Source organism: Homo sapiens, chromosome 4 (genome assembly GCF_000001405.40).
Source record: "Homo sapiens chromosome 4, GRCh38.p14 Primary Assembly".
In the NCBI taxonomy this organism is placed as follows: Eukaryota; Metazoa; Chordata; class Mammalia; order Primates; family Hominidae; genus Homo; species Homo sapiens.
This window is the reverse complement of record NC_000004.12, coordinates 115,098,610-115,119,619: the sequence shown is the minus strand read 5'-3', so window position 1 is coordinate 115,119,619 and position 21,010 is coordinate 115,098,610. Positions and strand designations below refer to the sequence as shown.

General features: G+C 32.9%; 1 protein-coding gene across 2 annotated transcripts in view; it reads left to right on the top strand.

The window, feature by feature from the left end:
* Window positions 1-5,999: 5,999 nt before the first annotated feature.
* Window positions 6,000-21,010, top strand: part of NDST4 (N-deacetylase and N-sulfotransferase 4) — a 285,858-nt gene continuing 270,847 nt past the window's right edge. For both annotated transcript variants that reach the window (XM_017008545.3, NM_022569.3), the window contains exon 1: window positions 6,000-6,176. The gene's annotated coding sequence lies outside the window, so the exon portion shown is untranslated. The remainder of the gene's footprint in view (window positions 6,177-21,010) is intronic.

Below are 21,010 nucleotides of genomic sequence, written 5' to 3'. Positions count from 1 at the left end.
AATATTTTTATTCATGAATAATATTAGGAAGATTAAATGACATGGATTCTAAAAAGGAAAACTAATCTGGGTCTTCTTATCCATGGGGAAAATTGCTTTATAATGTATCTTTGCATCTTCCTTTTGAAATGAATTGTTGCTTCTATTTGTGACATACAGAACTGGTGCAACAGTTTCATTGAAAATATATTTGTAGGGGAAATGTTAATTTCTGGTTCCCTATTTTCTAGCTTTGGGTTGCCATCATTCGTTCATTCATTCATAAATTTATTTTTTTAAATGTCAGTAACTATGCCATGGCACTGCTCCAAGTATTAAGGATATAAGCCTCAAACAAACAAACAAAAACAAAAGAGATTATCTCTGTCCTCAAAGAATAAAGACTTCATTGCTAGCATTATGTGTGTGCCTACAAATCAGGCAACAATAGCAATATAATGCTGTGTACCCCATTGCTAGCTGGTTACAGAGGGCAACACTGGGTTTACAGGTCTTGGAATACAGCATGACTTAGAATTCACAAGTATTGCTTCTCAAGCTTAAGGAAACTTTCAGCCATTGTTGACTTGCTTTAGAACATCTCATGTTCTTATACCACTTCCTCACAACTTACCATCTCAACATGGTCCCCCAACACACACACACACACACACACACACGGCTTAAACCAAATAGGAGAAAGAGTGACAGCATCCAGTGAATTACCCCAGAGTGACGATAATTTACAGTGAGGCACTGAAGCTAACAGGACAGAAACTGATTTGCTAAGGCTTAGTAAAAAATTAAGATTTCCCATGCTGATCAGAGCATTAGCCAAATAGTTCATAAATGAGATGTCTTTCCCTGAAGGACTGGAGCAGGCGGAAAACAAATGATATTGGGATATTTAAAATACAAAAAATTTGGTAACAGATGAAAGAAAATATCCTATATGACAAAAAGAATTTTATCAAACTTATCACTGTGATGCTATGATTCTGGTCTGCAAGTAGCTTTCTCACTTTGAACATTTAGGACTTCAAATTAGAGAATGTAAAATGACTTGTAAGGCGTAAGTCAAAAGGAAATCACCATCAAACCCTAATAAAATTTGGCAAATGAAAATTCCAAAGAAAAGAGAAACAAAGAAAGAAACAAACTGAAACTACCTATCCTAGATAAAACTTATACAACCCCTATAAGGTATTTAAAGATCCTACTCTGATGAGACACTCCCGCTGGAGTTGGGGCCCAATTAATGCGCTTTATGAACTCTCCTCACCTTTGTGTACCCTCTAAAAGAGAAACTAACTGAAAATTCTCATAGCAAAGATCAGACCATGGAAAAATCATAAATTTAATTTTTACTGTCCTCCCCCACCTCACCCTGGGTCTCTCACTTGAGTGCTAACATTTTAGTGACAACAAAATTTCTTATGATGCAATGGTGTTTTGGCCAACAACTGCTATTTATTAAAAATCATGTTCCTTTAAGTAGTTGTCTGCCAAACTGGAATTGGACTGTTTAGTCTGTTTGTTCCCTCACTTGGCCTTTCAAGTTTTGCATCTTCAAAGGATTTATTTGAAGCATTAACATGCTGATTTCTCTCTTGCTACAACAATGCACTAGAGTGATACTGGCAAAAAGATTCTTTCTTCCAACCTGCTCTTCCTATTTTTTTCCCTTTTTCTAATAACTTGCTAACAAGAGATCCAGATGTGTAATAAGATAACATCTAAGTCTGTGACTGGGGTGTTTGTTATCCACGTAATGCTATTTGGCACTTACGATTTTTTTATCATGTATTATGATACCATTGAAGCAAAAGTGACTTTATGCAACTTCTTTCTCACATAAGTTCTTATCCTAACAATTGCTAGCAGAAGATTTTTTTCTCTTAATAAAAAGTTTTTGTATTAGTCACTCACAGCCCAATTAGAGGCTTCCCCTGCTCCCTGAAGGCATAAACTTTGAACGTAGAAGTTTCTTTTATTCATGCTTTTTCTTTTAAAAAAGAGTTATAGCCTTTCGTGTTGGTACAACAGGATAGTTGCTCATGTTAAAAAATAAAATTAAAAGAAAAGGATATAGACAGAAAGTGGTAGTGTGGTAATAGAATCTTGTATTTATAAGTTTTAGTAGTGAAGACTGTAAATTAAACTAAACGCATTCAATCAAAATTGTGAGAACTATAAATTTATTTGGTTGTGCTCATTCAAAATTATTTTTGCTCTAAAAGTAACAAAAAAGATGAAACTTGAAATGAATAAAAATGTACATTTAAAGATCTAAATATCTTCTGTTTATAGCCTGTATATGCATGTGAATAATTTTTTAAAAAGTAGAAATTATGAAGTACTTGGAATCTTGTTTTAGTATTTTCTGTGCAAACCTTTATTTATTTTAGAGGCAAGCATTTAAAACTTACCATTAGTAACAATTAGCAGAACAAAATGAGAAAGAAAATGATGAAAATTTTTGAAATTGTTAAATTTACCGAGTTTTTTTGAAGTTTTCTAAGATTTTTATTAGTAGATATTACTACCCTCTCATTTTCACTGTAATAAAGACTTGACATACAAACAAAAAAAAGACCTTCCTTTTAAAATAAACATCTTTTTTTCTTCTATTGAGTAAGTATATACAAAGATATATGTGTGTATTATAAAGAACAAAGCGTATATATGTATTTATAAATTAAATTGAAAGTATATTATGTTCTTAGATATATGTTATAAGTGTATATTATATAATGTTTTCAATGTTTTTCACTTTTAAAATTTCCAAATAATGCATATAACACATACACATTTCTTGAACTTCCAAGGAAACGCCACTGAAAATTTAAAAGGTAAATTCAAAGATAAATTCAGTTGAATGAAAAGGTTTTGTAGTGGGCAAATACTACTTTAACTTTTGCTGAGTCAAGAGAGCAACTGAATAAAAATATGTGGAGCTCTAAAAGTTTATTAGTTCAACAAGTTCAATTCAATTTTTTAAAAATCCATTGAGGTCTTAATATAAGTCTGGACCTACATCTTAATAGATAAAAGAACAATTATATTATACTTTATAGAGTGCTTAAAGAAACTTAAAAGCATCCACTTTCTTCTTAAAAGTCAACTATAAGCAATTGGGTGAATGCTTTGCATTGCGTGTATTGTTGAAAATGAGCTGACTTGATGCTACATTTTGATATTTAAGTGCAAGCCCTGTAAATTGTGGAACACAAGTTAAATGATTTAAAAAATTAAAACACTTTGAGCAAGTAATTATTTCCTCTTTTCTCTCTTGTGTATTACATTTCTTCCCAGAAATGTCCAAGGTCATTTATTTCATTTTCCCAACATGACAGATGAGAAAATGATAAAAGATTACAAATTCACAAATATGTTTGTTTTAGTCATTTGCGAATACAATATACAAAGAAAAGTATAAGAAAAATATTCAAAATACTTTGAGGATTATTTTGTTTTGTTTTAGTGTGAGTGTTGTGAATTTCTCTGGTTTTCCCCAGGAATAGAAAAGAAAGCACTTTTTGGTGGGTTTCCATTCATTTATACATATGTATATGGTGGGACCCTCTGCCTTCAGTACTTAGTGTATTTCTGAATGAAAAATGAGGCAGGGAGAGTAAAGTTGGGTATTTTTTCCCTAAATTGAATTTTAATTACTCATCTCTGGATTTTTTGAATTTCAAAGTTCATGTTTCACAAATATTTAAAAGAATTTTACCTTTAATAAGAATATCTTCTATTAATATTTTATATAGCATTTTTACACTGTGAAAGTAGTTACCTCTTCAGCTTAAAACATTGTTTATAGTTTAATGCTAGAGAAGAAGTTGATCAACATTTTTCACTTGTAATCATCAATGGATATCAGCTCTAGTTTATCACTAGAGCCGAGGATATAAACCCTGCTCCATGTTTTAATGTGATGGGTTTTATCTTCAGATCACTGTGTTGCCATTTAGTTCCAATAAATGAAAATACTCTGATAAAGTGGCATTCTTGAGTTGTGAAATAGAACTATGTCAATAATATAAAGATGTTGAGCATTTATAATAGTTTTTCATTTAAATTATTTTTCTAAAGTTAAGACTTAAAAATAATTACCCAACTTGAATAAAGAAGAAGGCATTATTAGTAAGCCAAACTACATACAACAGAAAAATCTTCAATTGGCTTTTACAATTTATGCTATTTTATGTTATTTATCAACTGTTAGTGTTTCCCATGATGCTACTCTAGTAATAATTATTTTATTATGACATCTTTGAAATATTTAACTGCAGTTTATTTATCCATTTTGAATTTTGATGTGTATCACTCTGAAAATTCTGACTTGACTTCAATGCATCTTTGCATTCCAAATGTTTTAAAAGGTAGTAAGAAGTACCTGAACGCTTTAATTATTTTTAAAATATAAATTTTTTCTTTAATATATTTTAGCCTGTGCACCTGAAAAACTAACTGATACATGACCTATGAGTTACTAGGTTTTATTTATTGCTTATGAATAACTGGTAAATATTTTTTCTAACTTGCTAGATTTTTTTTCCCTATTCTCTGTATGGCATATGTCTATGGCTTGCTAACCCTCAAAACCTTGTGCAGTATAATAATACTAGTAATCCTGGATGCATTAAAATTATTCTTCTGAAAGACCACATCATCAATAAATGCTGAGTTTTGAAGGACTCCCTCCTACCCCTACCTTCCAGTCTTATAGAGGATTTCATTGAAACCACACCAGTATTTCAAGTGGAACTACTACGTACAACCAAAGACACCCATATACCTGAGGAGGACTTGGAGTTGAGAAAAGCTTGTAGTTCTGTTCTGCAACCTATTAGGGGTGTTGAACCAAATTCTCATTAGCCTATCTTATTCCACTAAATTAAATGGTAGAAACTAAGGGATGTACTAAAGCAAGAAAAGCCCAGGGAATCATGTAGTCTGGAATGAGGAGAAGTACCTGAAAGCACTTTACTTTTACTTTTACATATATCCTAATGAATAAGTTTAAAGAACTTTACATAATGTATATAAAAGTACTTGATAATATCTTTATGTGTTTACACGAATTAATAGAAAACAAAGAGCAGGTAATTTTCAACTTATATTGCCACGTTAAAAAGAAGAAAAGAGACATAGAAAAGAACTTTTCCATAATAATCCAGTAGTTTACCTTAATTACTAAAACAATGCACACAATAAATTCACACGCACATACTCTTTCTTTTCTTCTAACATTTATCATGGTCTAAAATGCTGTTATTAACTTCAGGACTATGTAGCTTACTAATACTTGTCCGAGTTTCCTATTGCTCATTGTTGGCTTTTGTTGAGTTTGTAATTTTTGTGTTTAACTGGCACACATTTACAGCAGAAAATCCTGCTTTGAACTTTTCTTATTTTGTCCAATAGAATCTCGTGGAACAGTGTCATAGCTGCAAAGTGGAATTCTATCCTCAAATTTCATAGGAAATAGTCGAACTGTACAATGAAAGATTATGCAAATCTTCAAGGAGCATCTAATCAATCACCGCGGTGTGAGCGGAATGCAGCCCATCGCTGAATTAGCTTCTGTTGGAATGTATTCATGTGTAACATCCCACTGACTGGATGACATCACAACAGCTCCAGGTCCTTGAAAGTCTTGAGGATGATTAGCTGAAGGAATTGGCTGTTTCTGCCAATCATAATCCGGCAAAGCTGCCTTTATAGTTCTGGAGATGTGAGAGAGAGGGAGGGAGGGAAAGACCGACTACAGCTAAACAAGAGGCACAGCAGCACTAGCAACAGCAGAGCAGGAGCAGCTGGTATTCCGGTGATTAAATAGTTCTCATAGCCTTTTTGCTGTACTCGGTCTGCTCCCTGGTGTAATTCTCGTGTCCAAGAAGGAAGCTGCATTTTAACGGTGTGCTGAACAGAGGTTTGAATCATTCCAGCTGGCTGCTTGTTTTGAAAAGGACAATGTGTGTATAAATAAAAGGACTCTGCTGGAAGAGTTCAGACACTAAGACTGGAGCTAGAGAGTGCTCTTGGAATATTGTTGAGGCAGATTGCATGAACTGAAAGCTCCTTCTAATTAACCTGGAGCCAAGTGAACCTGAATACTGGATATCTCATGTTCTAACACGGGATAAATTCAAGTTAGAAAAAGACAAAATATTGAAATGCTTCTCTAGGTAAGTTACTGCTTAATTTGCTGAAATCGAGGTGTGTATCATAAATGAATATGCGTTGCTTAGCTATGTAAACAAGTCGGACACAATAAAGTTTTATTTGTGAAAGATTTATGTAGAAGCAGATAATATCTTAAAACCAAATTCAATCTCCCTTTTCCGCATGTGTGTGCTTACCTGTCATCATGCTTTATAGAAGTTATATTTGCACGTAAGTAGAAAATACAGTCGTACATAAAAAAAAAGAGATACAACTTGATAAAATTTAAACAGTTGCCGGAACATTTGCATAGGAAATATCTTATTTGATAACAACTTTAGCCTTTTCATATTAAAAGCACCAATTTTACAAACTCAACATCCAAAGTTAACTGTAGGGTTATAAATGTTTCCCTAATAAGTGTTACTGAAAACATGGCATTCAAATTACCGAAGATGGGAACTCCTGTTTTTTGGACCTGAGATTTATAGGCATGCTCTGTACTAATGGTCTGCTTTAGAGAAACAGCTGTCACAGACATGTGAAATTGTATGTTACAGTCATAAATTGCTTATAAAGAAATAGGTGCTTTCCTCCTACCTCCTATTAGAAAAGAAAAATAAATTCTTAGAACAATATATGTCATATGCCCTAAGCATAGTTTCCTAGGAGGACAGAAAGCTTTATGGTATACCTCCAATTTCCTCAAGCACAGAATAAGTTGGAAAACAAGAAATGTTATTGGAATATGGTTTTACTCATTCTTTTCAATATTCTTTTTGAGAAAGCTAAATAAGGAAAATTAAACCTTATTTTTCTTAGAATTTGTCCTGATTAATAAAATACTATATTCTACAGAATTCCTGTCATAGTTTTTTTAAGTGATTATATGTTTTGTTTATTATGATAAGTTATACTGTGAGTTCTCATACAGCTTTAGAAAGTTTTAAGTTTATGTTTTATCATGTCTCTTTCAAACTCACCTTTGCTTGTTTTCGTGGTGCCTTTTATCAGAATATTTTTCATTTGCACAGTTTCATAAATGCTTTAACATAAATTGCATACCAAGATACTGATGTGTTTCTGTAACTCTCAGAATGATTTTAGTTTTCCACTTTCTCACCAACAACATGGTTAAAATCCTGTGAGGTTTCTGCCCCAAGAGGAAATTGATAAAGATGAAAGTTATTGTAATTGGTTGAATTTCCCCAAAACTAGGAAGCAATGAATTTTCCCACAACGATGTAAAGGTTTTTTTTTTTTTTTCATATCAAAAGAGTAATTTATTCTACTCTATTAAAAGTATGCCAGTTAGCTATATCCCAGTGTCACATAGGTTCTGTGCTGGTCATTTGTGTGCATGAGTGTGTGCGTGTGTGTGTGTGTGTGAGTAGCAAGTTTATGTAAAGAATATAAAGTCCACTGACTACAACAGTCTAAGTTTTCAACTGGAATTCATAAAAAACTAATTAATAAGCAAAATATAATTGCCATTTACATTTATCTCAATATATAAATGGGAAGTTAAGCCTACTATTGTTGACATTTTTAAAAATAAGAAATCGTATGACAATACATTATGATGATCAATATTAAACAATGTTTACATTGATAGACATCTCATAATAAGCTAATTGGGAAGATTTTTAGAAATTGAATACTAAGCAGAATGGGCCTTTTAACTCTATCTGAATGGCACCTGGTCACCACTAAGACTGATACATAAAAACCCTTTGAAAAAGTTATAATATATATGAGTTACTAATATAACTTGAAAATCACCCTTAGATCCAATTTAGAAACTCAGGCATTATTTTTAAATAAAAGGAAGGTAAAACCTCCTGAAAATTTGAATTTTTTAAATTGATTAATGCAAATATATAAATAATAAATAAAAATGCAAATATATGTAAATTACATTTTGTTTTCTCCAAGATAGGCTTATTATTTAAGAAATGTGTAATTTTAAATATATTATCCTAAACATCAAAAGGAAGTATATGGGGACTATTTTTATATATAAATATATTAAGTCATAATTTGGAATTTCTATAATTGATAATCAAAATAGAAACATATGCTCATGCTTATGTTCACCTCAGGAAAATAAGGATCTTTCATTTTTTATTTGAGATTAAAAACTGTTATACCTATTCTTTCTTCTCCCAAAGAAAAGCATTCTATACTTGGATTTAAAATAAACATAATTCAATCTCAATACTAACATTAGTTCTTAAACGTACTAAATAAATGTTTCCAACCCAGTAGAACAGTTGTCCCCAGTAGGTTAAATGTTCATATGATCCCCTTGTACTTTCTGTTTGAGTTGAAAGGGGGCCTTTGGAAATAAAATCCAAAGATCAAACTTTGTGTGCATCATTTACAAGCAATTACTAAGGGAGAAGAGAGAAGCATTTAGCATACTGTGTTCAAACTAGAAGATTCTGGCTGGTGCTGCCTTCCCAGATTTAGAAAGCAGCTGGGGAAACATAAAATAAAGCTAGAATATCAGCCCTGGCTGGAAGCCAAGACAGAGAAGCTGTGCACCCAGAAGGCTAATTCTTTCTGGGCTAAAATTCATTGATAATGCATTATGTTTAGAGTCTAACCTGAAGTGTTATTTTTTTTCTCCAGTACAAACTGTGGGATATTTAAAGAACAAATATATTTTCTAAGTAGAATTAAATTTTAAACTAACAAAGGTTTCTTCTTTATTAAAAGTTGCTCTGTTGAAAAAATGCAAATAAGCCTACCAGAAACTCCTATAAAATACAGTTTATTCTCAGGAAAAGAAAAAGAAATAACGATGAGATGCATCATCTAACCATGATCTTGGAGAGGCAGAGAGATCAGAAATGACACATATGGATACATGCCAAAACAAAGAAATGTGAAAGTTTTATTAAAATACCTGGCCTAGTAAAATTTACAGTAAAGATACACACACTAAATACTGTTGTAGCATATATCTTCTGAAGGTAGGCAGCAAACATAAGGTAAACTCTCATTACGTACCCCCAGATAACTAGGAAAAAGAGAAACCATGTTGTCTGTTGATTTATTTGAAGTTTACGAAGTGAGATAAATGGGTCAGGTGTCAGACACAATGCTACCGCCTTCAGCCATCATGATAAAACATCTAGCCAGCCTTTTCTTTAACACTTCAGGAAACTTTCAGCTATGCTGTTATGCAGGGTGTTAAATGCCCTATTTTTAAAAGTTATTTTCAGCAAGCTTAAGAAGTTAGAGGTGTTATTTGCAATGCAGAATGTGTACACATATATACAGGCATTTCTAATAGATATAGTTCTATTTCCAAGCTTTCTTTATCTCAGTTTTCTAAGGAAAACTATCACTTTCTAGAGGTGACAAATCTAAAATTTCTTTCAGAAATAATATTGAATTGAAAATAGATTTCCTCAAAAGCTAAAATAGTCTGAAAATGAATTCCAAACTCATCAATAGCCTCAGGCATTTCAAGGCAAAAATATTTTTTTGAAATGTGAATAGTAAATTACTCTTCATTCCAACAGGTAAACATGTTTGCTGATATAACTTAATGTATTTATTTTCTTTGCATTGTTATAGTTTGTCTATATTCATCAGTATTCAGAAAATTCATGCCATGAAATAGGTTTTAATAAAATAAACTACACATGACAGGCTAAATAATGGTTTTCAGGTGACCCTTTGAGGTCATTTACATACATAGGCTATTTTAGATATATCTTTTAAAAGAGATAATATACTTCATTAACACTAAATAAATAGTTATGTTTAATTAGTTGAAATTTTGAAAAATCTGAGAAAAAAGGGTTAAAACTATGTCTGAATGCTTGAGAATATAATTTGATATTGTACTCAGAAAACAGAAGCGAGACTTTTGTTGAGAAACAAAAGTGATGACTCTAGTGAATTATAGAATTGGGACTTCTGTACTAAATCCAATTTGTACTCTGTTTAGAAATTATTACTTTAAGTATTTGAAGAGTTCAATGAAGAAAGCAACTTTAGCAAGCTAATAAACACATGAGTTTTATGTGCGGCCACATGCTTCATTTGTTCCCAAATTAGAGGAATTTCTCTATTTTGCAAATTCCACCATCAATTGAACTTATGTTGTGATTTATTTCAAATATTTAGCCTCCTTTTAAAAAGTCCTTAATGGAATGCATCGTCAACTATAACTACACAGAAGTTGAAAGTTAGCTTGGCCAGGTTCACTATATTCAAGTAAAAAGTAAATGGAGAAATGCTTCCTTAATCTCTTTTCATTAGCTCCTTTCTTTCTTCTCTTTCTTTTACTCATTTTTCTTATTTCCCTTCCCTTCCTCTCTTTTTCTATTCTTTTTCTTTATTCTTTTCTCTCTTCTCTTCTTATTTTACCACTTTTTCCTTCCTTCCTCCCTTCCTTTCTTCCTTCCTTCCTTCCCTTTTCCCTCTTTCCTTCCTTCTTCCTTCTTGCTTTCCTACCTTCCTCTTGTCTTTTTTCCTTTCTTCCTCCCTTTTTCCCTCCTTCCTTTATTTCCATTCATTTTTGCCACTTCAGCTTACATGCTCTCTTGTGTAATTGGAAAGCAAATCACTCATCTTTAGTATTGTGGCAATTATTAATCTAATAACCTGGTTTGAACACAGAGTAAGTGGGGAAAATGAAGAGAAAGAGTGGGTTAAGTTGCAATAAGCAATCAAGGAAAAGTGAAATAGGGTGGGAGATTTATTTCAGAGAAATAGTGATGTTGACTTTAACATATGGGCTGTTCTTCCACCTATAAATTTCCATTTAATTTACTAAATTATTTAAGTGGAATTCTTTTTTTTCCAACACTCCCTTTTTAATATCAGTCACATCTTTTCCATATAGCAGATGCACCTTAGTGGTAAAAAATAAAATGATAATAATAAATATAAATAATTTTTCCTTAGAAATTTTAAATCCTCTAAATCATTTTTATATCTAGTAGTTTAAGGATATTAACATTCATAAGCAACCCAAAGGCCAACTGCCATGCTAGTGGAAGAAAAAGAGAGAAGGGAAAGTGATTTCACACATTTAGATGCTTTGGCTTGATTCTATTCCTGAATCAGAAATTCAGTTGTAGACTGCTGATCCACAGAATTTGTCATAGTTCATCAGACACCTCAAAAGAGTTCTTCTTCTTCTTGATGTATTGAATAGTCTTTCATGCCTACATAACAATCATTTAAACATCAGAAATAAATATAACATCACTAAAGATTAATGCAAGGAAAGGTAACAGATGCAGAGATGCATATGCTCCTGTGAATGCATATAACAGTCCTAATTCTATTCATTACTCTAAAGTGCAAGTGAATAATTAGAATCAGAATTTAAATTTGGTTTCTCAATCAATCTTTCACTAATAGTTATGTCAATTCAATTGAGATTCCCTGTACTGTAATAAGTAAAATAAAACACAATCAATAAATTATACTACCAACTTATCTAAAGTATTATGGTTCCTGATAACACAGTTTTTGAAGTTTCTTTCCTTGAAACAGGACATTTTCTTGATATCCATAGAAATAATGCTAAAATTGATCAATCGAGGTTGAACTCAATTCAATACTTAAATTACTCTATCTGTCTGGACATATTTTTCACCTTAGACAGAAAAAAATAGCTTTTTTACTTTTGCTCAATAATGTTCATAAAAATAAGGAAAATAAATATTTTCTATTATTTTTAATATGTGTCAGGCACCATGCAAGTTACTAGGGTGAACAAAATAGCTCTCAGGAGGCTTATATTCTCATGGTAGAAAACTGACAGTAAATAAATAAAGACCCCACAGTAGTGCCTGTGAGTGCTATAAAGATAAGTCAAGGTGGCACATTAAAAGCTGTATGTGAAAGTGATAGGACTGGTCAGGAAATGCCTTTCTGATAAGGCAGAAACTCAGTAAATCCATATAAAACATAGATGTCAAATTGAGTAACATTATTATTTTATCTTGTAGAAAAATGTGATGAGGAGTAGCAATTTCTTGTAATGTGCAAGCTGACAAGCTGAATTTTGTCTCTGTCTATTGATTATCCTCCTCAGGTCTGTGAAGTTGTTTGGGAGAATTTAAGATATGGCACACTATTTAGTGTCACTTTCTCTGGAAAGTAAAAAAACTAATCAGTTTTAGAAAATAGAAGTCTCACCTTTACTTCTATTCTTTATATTTCTAAGTATTAAGAAGTATTATGTGTGTAAATTATCTCAAATTACTGGTTTTTAAATTTTTTTCTCACAGACTGAAATTCAATGCTATTTATTTCCTTCTTTAATTTTATTTAGAGATAGGCTCTTGCACTGTCTGGCACCCAGGGTGGAGGCAGTGGAGCAATCATAGCATACTACAACCTCAAACTCCTGGGCTCAAGCAATCCTTCCACATCAGCCTCTCAAGAAGCTGGGACTATAGGTGCACACCACCTCACCCAGATAATTTTATTATTCATATTTTTTGTAAAGATGGGGTGTCATGTTGCCCACGCTGGCCTCGATTTCCTGGCCTCAAGCTATCCTCCTACCTCAGCCTGACAAAGTGCTAGGATCATAGGCATGAGCCACTGCCTGGTCTCAGTGCTATTACTAAATCTTACGTAGCAGAGGAGCTGGCTCCATATCTCATTCTCCCAAATTGGTGGCGGTAAGAACCAATATTCCAAAACATCACCCAGTTGGCTGGAATGATGGACCTAACATAATGAAATGAAGATCGATGTAATTCTTAGTATCCATGGGTCCATCTGTGAATTCAACTAACTGAAAATGAAAAGTATTTTAAAACATAGATGATTGTTTCTGTACTAAACATGTGCAGGCATTTTTTCCTGTCATTACTCTCTAAATAATACAGTATAACAATTATGTACATATCATTCACATCGTATTAGGTATCATAAGTCATCTAGAATTGAGCTAGAGTATACAGGAGGATGTGTATAGGCTACATGCAAATACTATGCGATTTTATACAGGGGTTTCAGTATCTCTGGATTTTGGTCCTGGAGGGTTAGGGGGTCCAGGAACCACTCCTTATGACAAGAGATGACTGTTTCTTTTTTAAAAAATTTCTCCAATTATAAAATTACCTCAAATTTAACAAGAACCAAAAGTTTGATGACACTAATACAATGCTAATACAAACTTAGAATGCATTAACAGAACCATAGTGTCAACATCCAGGAAACAGTTATCTGTGATCCTATTTAATACAAGTCTGACATTATTTGGCCTGTTCATCATTCTCAGTTTCCCGATGCCTCATGTTAATAGCAGTCTTCTATGACCTTCCTCTTCCCCCATGGTGAACCAGATATTTTTGCCCTACCCCCACACTGTTCCATCAGGGCACTTATTACCTTATGATGTAATTGCTGTGTGTGTGTCAGCGCTCCCCATTTATCCAAAAGCTTTTTGATGGCAGAAATGCTTAGAGAGTGCTTGACCAATAATCAATAGATACTAAGGGTTTGATAAATGTAAAATGTGAGAAGACATCTGGCAACTATGCTATATGAGTAACAGTTGAAAAACACAGTAATAATTAAAGGAAAAAAGCTAAAAGGGAGCAGTATAGTTATCTTTATATATTAGATACTTTTTTATGCAAAAGGAATTTGTTTTATGTTATGTGACGCTAGCAGACTAAGCTACGAAAGGTACGGAAGTTGTTTCTATGCAATGTCAGGTAAAACAATACTTCCTAAAAATCAGTGAGATTCTACTCAGTCAAAGCAACAAACACAGGCTGGAATGCTACCTGTTCAGAAGACTTTTGTGGAAGGAATTTCTGCCTTGCGTAGAAAATAAATGCTGGCTACCAAGATTTCTTGTTGTTTTTTGTTGTCGCACTATAAGAAGTATGGACAAAGGTTTTAGAATGAGCACTTGGCCCACCTAAATCCAGCTCTAGCAGTTGGCTGGAAGACTGGTCAACATAATTCAAGTAAATAACCACTGGGTAAAATTACACAGTGGAAATTACTCAGGATATGCCCTAGAGTAAAAAAGCAAATTTTCATAATAGAATTATTTATAAGATGTACCATTTTATAAAGAAAATAAAATAATACATTTCTTGAGTAAGTGAAAGTTTGTTTTTTATTGTAAACATATTATTTTACTATTCTTTTGAGACAGTCCAAGAAAGATAACATGTCAACATTAGAGGAATGAATAAGAAAAATAATTTTGCTTTCCATAAACTTCTAAATTTTAAAGAATGCAGAGATTGATTGACCTAATTATGATGCCTTTTTGTAGAAGCCTTCATGTAAACAAATGTGAATTAAAGATGAGATAATATTGTGACATATTGGAAGGCAGGTGTTAACCTTGGTTTCCACCAGATCAGGATTCCAAGCCTTGCTTTGCCCTGACTCATGATATAACCTTGAAAATTCTAACTCTTCTCTGCTTCAGCTTCATGATCTGGGATGGGGTAATAATAATTCATAGACTTGCTGAGACAGCTAAACATAACAATAAGTCCAAAGTTTCTAGTACACAGTGGGAAACATGAGATTTTAAATTAATAGTATCAAGTTTTGATTACATGTGTCAGTACTCTGACTTTGGCCTGCAATGCCACATTTTGTACTGATTTAAAGTATCCCCTGAGTGATTAGTATTGACTGCTCCCAATCTTTCTCACTTGGAGATAATGATCTAAGTCACCTTTTTCTACTGTCTCTACTGTATTGTTGATCATATATTTTAATATTAATAACATTGAATCTAACTTAAAGGATCAAATTTCATTCACCAACATTTTAATGTGATTTATCATGATCTTGAAAATTAACTAACATTCAAAAATTTTCAGGAAAACATACTATATCCCAGAGAAAAAAATGTTAGAAAAAGGGGCCAAATAGTTTTCCTCTATTTTCTGTCACGCTGGAGTAAGCAGAAACATGGAATTTGAAGAAGACAAAGACAAAGATTCAGAAACTAGAACTGGATAGAATAAAAACAAATGCAAATGTTTCCTAGTTGGTCTTCTGACCAACTGCTAGAGCTGAGAGGTAGGTGAAGAGAGTATTTATTCCGAAGTCTTTATCCACACCCCTTATAGTGACACAATGTAAACACAAGAAACCTTCCTGGCCACCATCTGTCTCCTTCTCAAGGCAGTAGTAATTTCTTCCAAAAAAGCAGTTTGGTAAACATAATAAGCTACTTTAAATTACTAATTACTAATGTTAACCCAGGCTGAAAGTAAAAAGATATAAACTATATTCTAAGTTTTGCCACAAATGTGCTGATAAATTTTAAATTGATCTCATGGTTTCCACATGTAAAACAAGACCACTTTCACTCCTATTCTTTGTTTCCCCAAAATATATTTTGAATATAAACACAATATTTCACATTTCTAAATCTCCCAGTATTTTCCACCAAACCAGTTTGCTAAGTGAATTATTTTGGTACGATGTCTAGTATTCTTTTAAAGGATCCATAAGTAACTATCGTGATAATTCTAGATGCCAGTCATCAAGTATTAAAATAGGAACATCTCAAGAAATGTTGTCTCTGACAAGAAGCAGAATATGTGAAATCACTCCAGATCTCTTCTCTTGAGTTTTTATCATGCTTTTCTGATGTTTGAGAATTGTGTAACCTGGATTAGTTTTTGGTGGGAGAATAATATTCTATACAGGATATATTTACATGTTACTATCCACATTATTTCTGGTTTATGGCCAAGTTGGCATTTTATTTGTTAATATCTAAAAGACAAAATAACATAAAATAGAAGGAAATTAAATTAAAAATAGCAGGTTTACCTGTGAAATTGAATGGAGTATGCCTCTTATGATAAAGAATAATCCAATCATTTTGTGTGTTGCGTAAAATTAAGAACTCTCTGAAGTAAATAAAAGGTGGAAACCATAACTACAGGGTTTATTAAATATATAGTTAGAAAATAATCAAAAGAAAATATCAGTATTTCCTATTTGAGTAAGATTCTTTGTAAGTCTTGAGTACAGCAATGAAAATTTTACTTCATGATATTTAAGGTGCCAATATAGAGCAGTGGCAATGAAAGAAGAGATTTATAATTAATTTAAAAATGTGGGTTCATATTAGCTGTTTAACAGTGGACTGGTCACTTCACTTCTTTGGGCATTACATTCTTCATTCATTCATCCCTTGAGTTCTCTGAATAATAATTTTGATAATTAAAATTTATAGCTTTTTGTATTATAGATTTAAAGTGACAATTTAGAAAGAGTTTATTTTCCATCACCAGCAGCACAAAGTCAGAATGTCACATAGATACTTTCTTGATAGAAAGGTAACATAATGATTAACATCTTGCTAGACCTTTCTGTAAACTAGGTAATAGACTCTTGTTATATCACCCAAAAATGATCCAAATTTTTGGACAGCATTAATGTATTTATTGTAAGTGTCTCTAGATAAGAAAGTCAGTGGGGCTGGGAGCAGTGGCTCACATTTGTAATCCCAGGACTTTGGGAGGCTCAGGCTGGTGGATCACCTGAGATCAAGAGTTCCAGACCAGCCTGCCAACATGGTGAAATCCCGTCTCTACTAAAAATACAAAAATTAGCCAGGCGTGGTGGCAGGCGCCTATAATTCCAGCTACTCAGGAGGCTGAGGCAAAAGAATCGCTTGAACCCGGGAGGTGGAGGTTGCAATGAACTGAGGCCGCACCATTGAACTCCAGCCTGGCTGATAAGAGCCTAACTCCATGTCAAAAAAAAAAAAAAAAAAAAAGGAAGTCAGAAGTATATGGTATATAAATGACCACTGATGTGAATTTTAAGAGATAGTAATCTTTTGTTACATCTGATACAGGCAAATTCCATTTATGATGATGGAAGTGACTGCTTACCTAAATTCAGAAGCAGAATAATTAAAATATTACAAATATAGCTTCTAAGAGACTATGGATATTAATGTAACTTCTGAATATAATTGCAATACTATTAGCATTAAATTTACATTAAAAAATAATGGAAAATTTGATTACTGTTATCATTGATATTTTAATAACTTCTTTTGTGATTTCTTGAAATTAAACTTTAATGTTAAATATTAGGCAAAATCATTTTTCTCTCTCCTTTATTTATGCATAAGTCAGCTAGCAAATTTCTACATTCTGGTTTCATTCACTTGTCTCTGTATCTTATAGTTTTTTTGCCTGTAAGAATACAAGGGTCAAATGAGCATTTTATGTTTCATGGATAACTGCTTCCATGATTGTCTTCTGAGGCAATTAGCAAGGATGCAAATCAATACTAAATATAATAATGGTTTTAAATAATGATTATTGAGCTAAAACAAAGCAATTATCAGTTGATGATAATCATTGCTGCTGGCTATAAGTTGATTTAACTTAAGTGTACAGAAAAGTACAGAAAATAAATACTCCATTGTAATATTAAGGACAAAGTTGATCATGTCACTCCCCTGACTTGTCACAGATTTGTGTTTTCTCTTCTTTTTCAAATCTCTCTTTTCTCCTCAAAATCTAAATCCTCTCATTTTTTAATGGCTAAAACAATTTACATCCCTCTCCAACCCGTCTCCTAATGACGTCAGTCCATGGGAATCTCCACTCTCTCTGAAATCTCATATCGCTTACAGAGTTCTCACCTGCTAATAAGCATATATTCCTCATGACAGAAAGTTTTGTATTCCTATTAACTCTTTCAATTCCTTTTCTTTTTCTTCAAACTATTCTCAGCTTCTTCACCACCACTTTGTTTTCAACTCACTTTAACATTTTACTTGACTTCACTATACCACTGGACTGCTTTAACACCACCACCAGTATTCTCTTGATTGACAAATTCAAGATCAATTTTGTGTTGTATTTCTTGACTCATAAATAGTATTCAGCTTTTATCACAAATATTTATTTTTATATTATTTACGTACAGCTTCTACTACCCTCTTCCACCAACACCATTTATTTAGTGTTATTTCCTAATATTTTCATGGCAAGCCTTTATCATCTTACCATGCACCCTGTTCCTTAGTGTTCTTACTCAATATTAGGGTTTTTTTTCTATCCTTTAACTTACACTTCCTGCAAAGAATTTAAATTCCATTTCTATTAGTCAGCAAACTAGTGGACATTTCCTTTTTGATATTTCACAGACTTTTCAAAAATGATATATTATAATTTACTCATTTTCTCCTCACACTTCTCTACTTCTAAATAACTTTGTATCTTCCCCACTATTACACTTATCATGCCTTATTGCAATTGCCTTTTTATGTCATAGAATATGTCACAGAATAAACTTCCATTGCTTTTGAAGAGTAGAGATAGTGTTTGTCAGATGGATAGTGCATCTGGCTATTAGAGAGCATTCAATCAATTTTAAATGAATGACTGTGAAAGCCTGAAGTCTTTGGGTGATTTTTTTTTCCTCTACATCCAATCAATCACCAAATCATGACACTTCTATTTATTATGTGATGGGACAAAAATAATTCATATGAAAATATTCACGACCTTGTCTCTTTAACAAACAACATAACCATCCACGCTTTTTACTTCCCCTTAAAGATAAGGGCATCTTGCTTTCTGAATGTGAGGTTAATTATCAGTACAATAGGAACTTAAGGAAAGGAGGGCAGAGCAGGAGGGAAAAAAAAAAAAAAGGAGTGAAGCATTTGTCAGAAACGAGGTATTGTAATGAGAGGATTTCCAGAAATTCTCCGTGCTTTGGGGTGCAGGGAAATTGAAGAGTAGAGAAACAGGTATTTTAGAAGTGTCATTTTGTCTTATGAATCAGACTATTTAATGTTATTAAGGAAATATACGTGAAGAACATAATTCCTTTTAAATAAAGTATTGTGGCTCTTAAACTGTGCTTCTTAAATGTATCCTACTGTGCATGTGTAATAGTAGCCCACATAGGGCTACAAATTTATAAGAGCTAGAAAGTTATATATAAATGTCATGAAACAGCTTGCTCTTTTTTTGAATAGACTTAACTTTTTAGAGCACTTTAAGATTCCCAGCAGAAATTGAACAGAAAGTACAAAGACTTTCCATATTTCTCTGTGTACAACTTTTCCCACCACCATCTCCTACAATCAAGAAACCAGTACTGACAGGTCATTATCACCCCAAGTCCACAGATTACATCAGGGCACACACTTGGTGTTTTATATCCTATGGGTTTCAACAAATGTTGTATTGTCATTACTTTTTAATTATGTATTAATTTTCATAGTATTAAATAGAAAAATTTCACTACCCTAAATATCACCTGTGTTCCACCTATTCATCCCTCTCTCCCTGCTCCCAAACCTGTGATAACCACCGATCCTTTCACTCACTCTATAGTTTTGCCTTTTCCAGAATTTCATATAAATGGAATTATATAGTATATAACCTTTTCTGATTAGATTATTTCACTTACTAATATGCATTTTATGTTCATCCATGTATTTCTGTGGCTTGATAGATCATTTATTTTTAGAGCTGAATGATATTTCACCGTACAGATGTACCAAAGCTTATTTATTCATTCACTTTTTGATGGACAGTTTGGTAGCTTCCAAGCCTTGGCATCTATAAATAAAGCTGCAATAAAACATCTGTGTGCAAATTTTTGTGTGAATGTAAATTTTTTAACTCATTGAGTAAATACCAAGGATCATGATTGCTGGATAATATGACTATGTTTAGCTTTGTAAGAAACTGCCAAATTGTCTTGCAAAGTGGCTGTATCATTTTTCATTCCTACCAGCAATGAATGAGAGCACTTGTTGCTCTATGTCCTCCCCAGCATTTAGTGTTGTCATTGTTTTAGATTTTACCCATTCTAAAAGGTGTGTACTGGCATCTCATTGATACTTTAATTCGCAACTCCCCAGTACCATATGATGTGTACCATCTTCTCATATCCTAAATGGCCATTTGTATTTTTTCATTAAGGAGGTATCTATTTAGGTTTTTATTTCCCATTTTTGAATTGGGTTGTTTTTCTACTATGGAATTTTAAGAGTTCTTTGTATATTTTGGAAAACAGTTCTTTATCAGATACGGCTATTGCAAATATTTTCTCCCAGTTTGTAGCCTGTCATCTTTCTCTTCAGAGTGTCTGCCACCGAGCAAAAGTTTATTACTTTAATAATGTTAAACGTATCAATTCTTTCTTTTTTGGATTGTTCCTTTTGTGTTAAGTAAAAAAAAATCAAGGTCATCTAGATCTTCTCCTATATGATCTTCTAAGAGTCTTATAGTTATGTATTTTACATTTACATTTCAATAAATTTATATCTACAAATAGTCTAAAATTCACTTGAGTTAATTATTAAAAAGGTTGTAAAGTCTGTGTGTAAATCACTGTTTCTGCATGTGGATGTTCTGTTGTACCAGCAGGGTTTATTGAAAAGGCTATCCTTTCTGCATTGCATTACCTTTGTTCTTTTGTCAAAGATACTTGACATCTGGGCATGGTGGCTCATGCCTGTAATCCCATCATTTTGGGACGCCAATGTGGAAGGACTGCTTGAGCCCAGGAATTCAAGACCAGCCTAGGTAACATAGTGAGACCACTGTCTCTACAAAATATGTATATAAAAAAAATTAGCAAGGTGTGGTGGCACATGCTTGTGGTCCTAGCTATGCAGAAGGCTGCGGTGGGAAGATCACTTGATCCCAGGAGGGCTAAGCTGCAGTTAGCCATGCTGTGATCATGCCACTGCACTCCAGCCTGGGTGACAGAGGGGGAACCTGATTAAAAAATAAAAAAGAAAAGGAAAACATTAATCGACAATATTTTTGTGAGTTTATTTTTGGGATCACTATTCTGGTCTGTTCTTTCATTTACACCACGGTGTCTT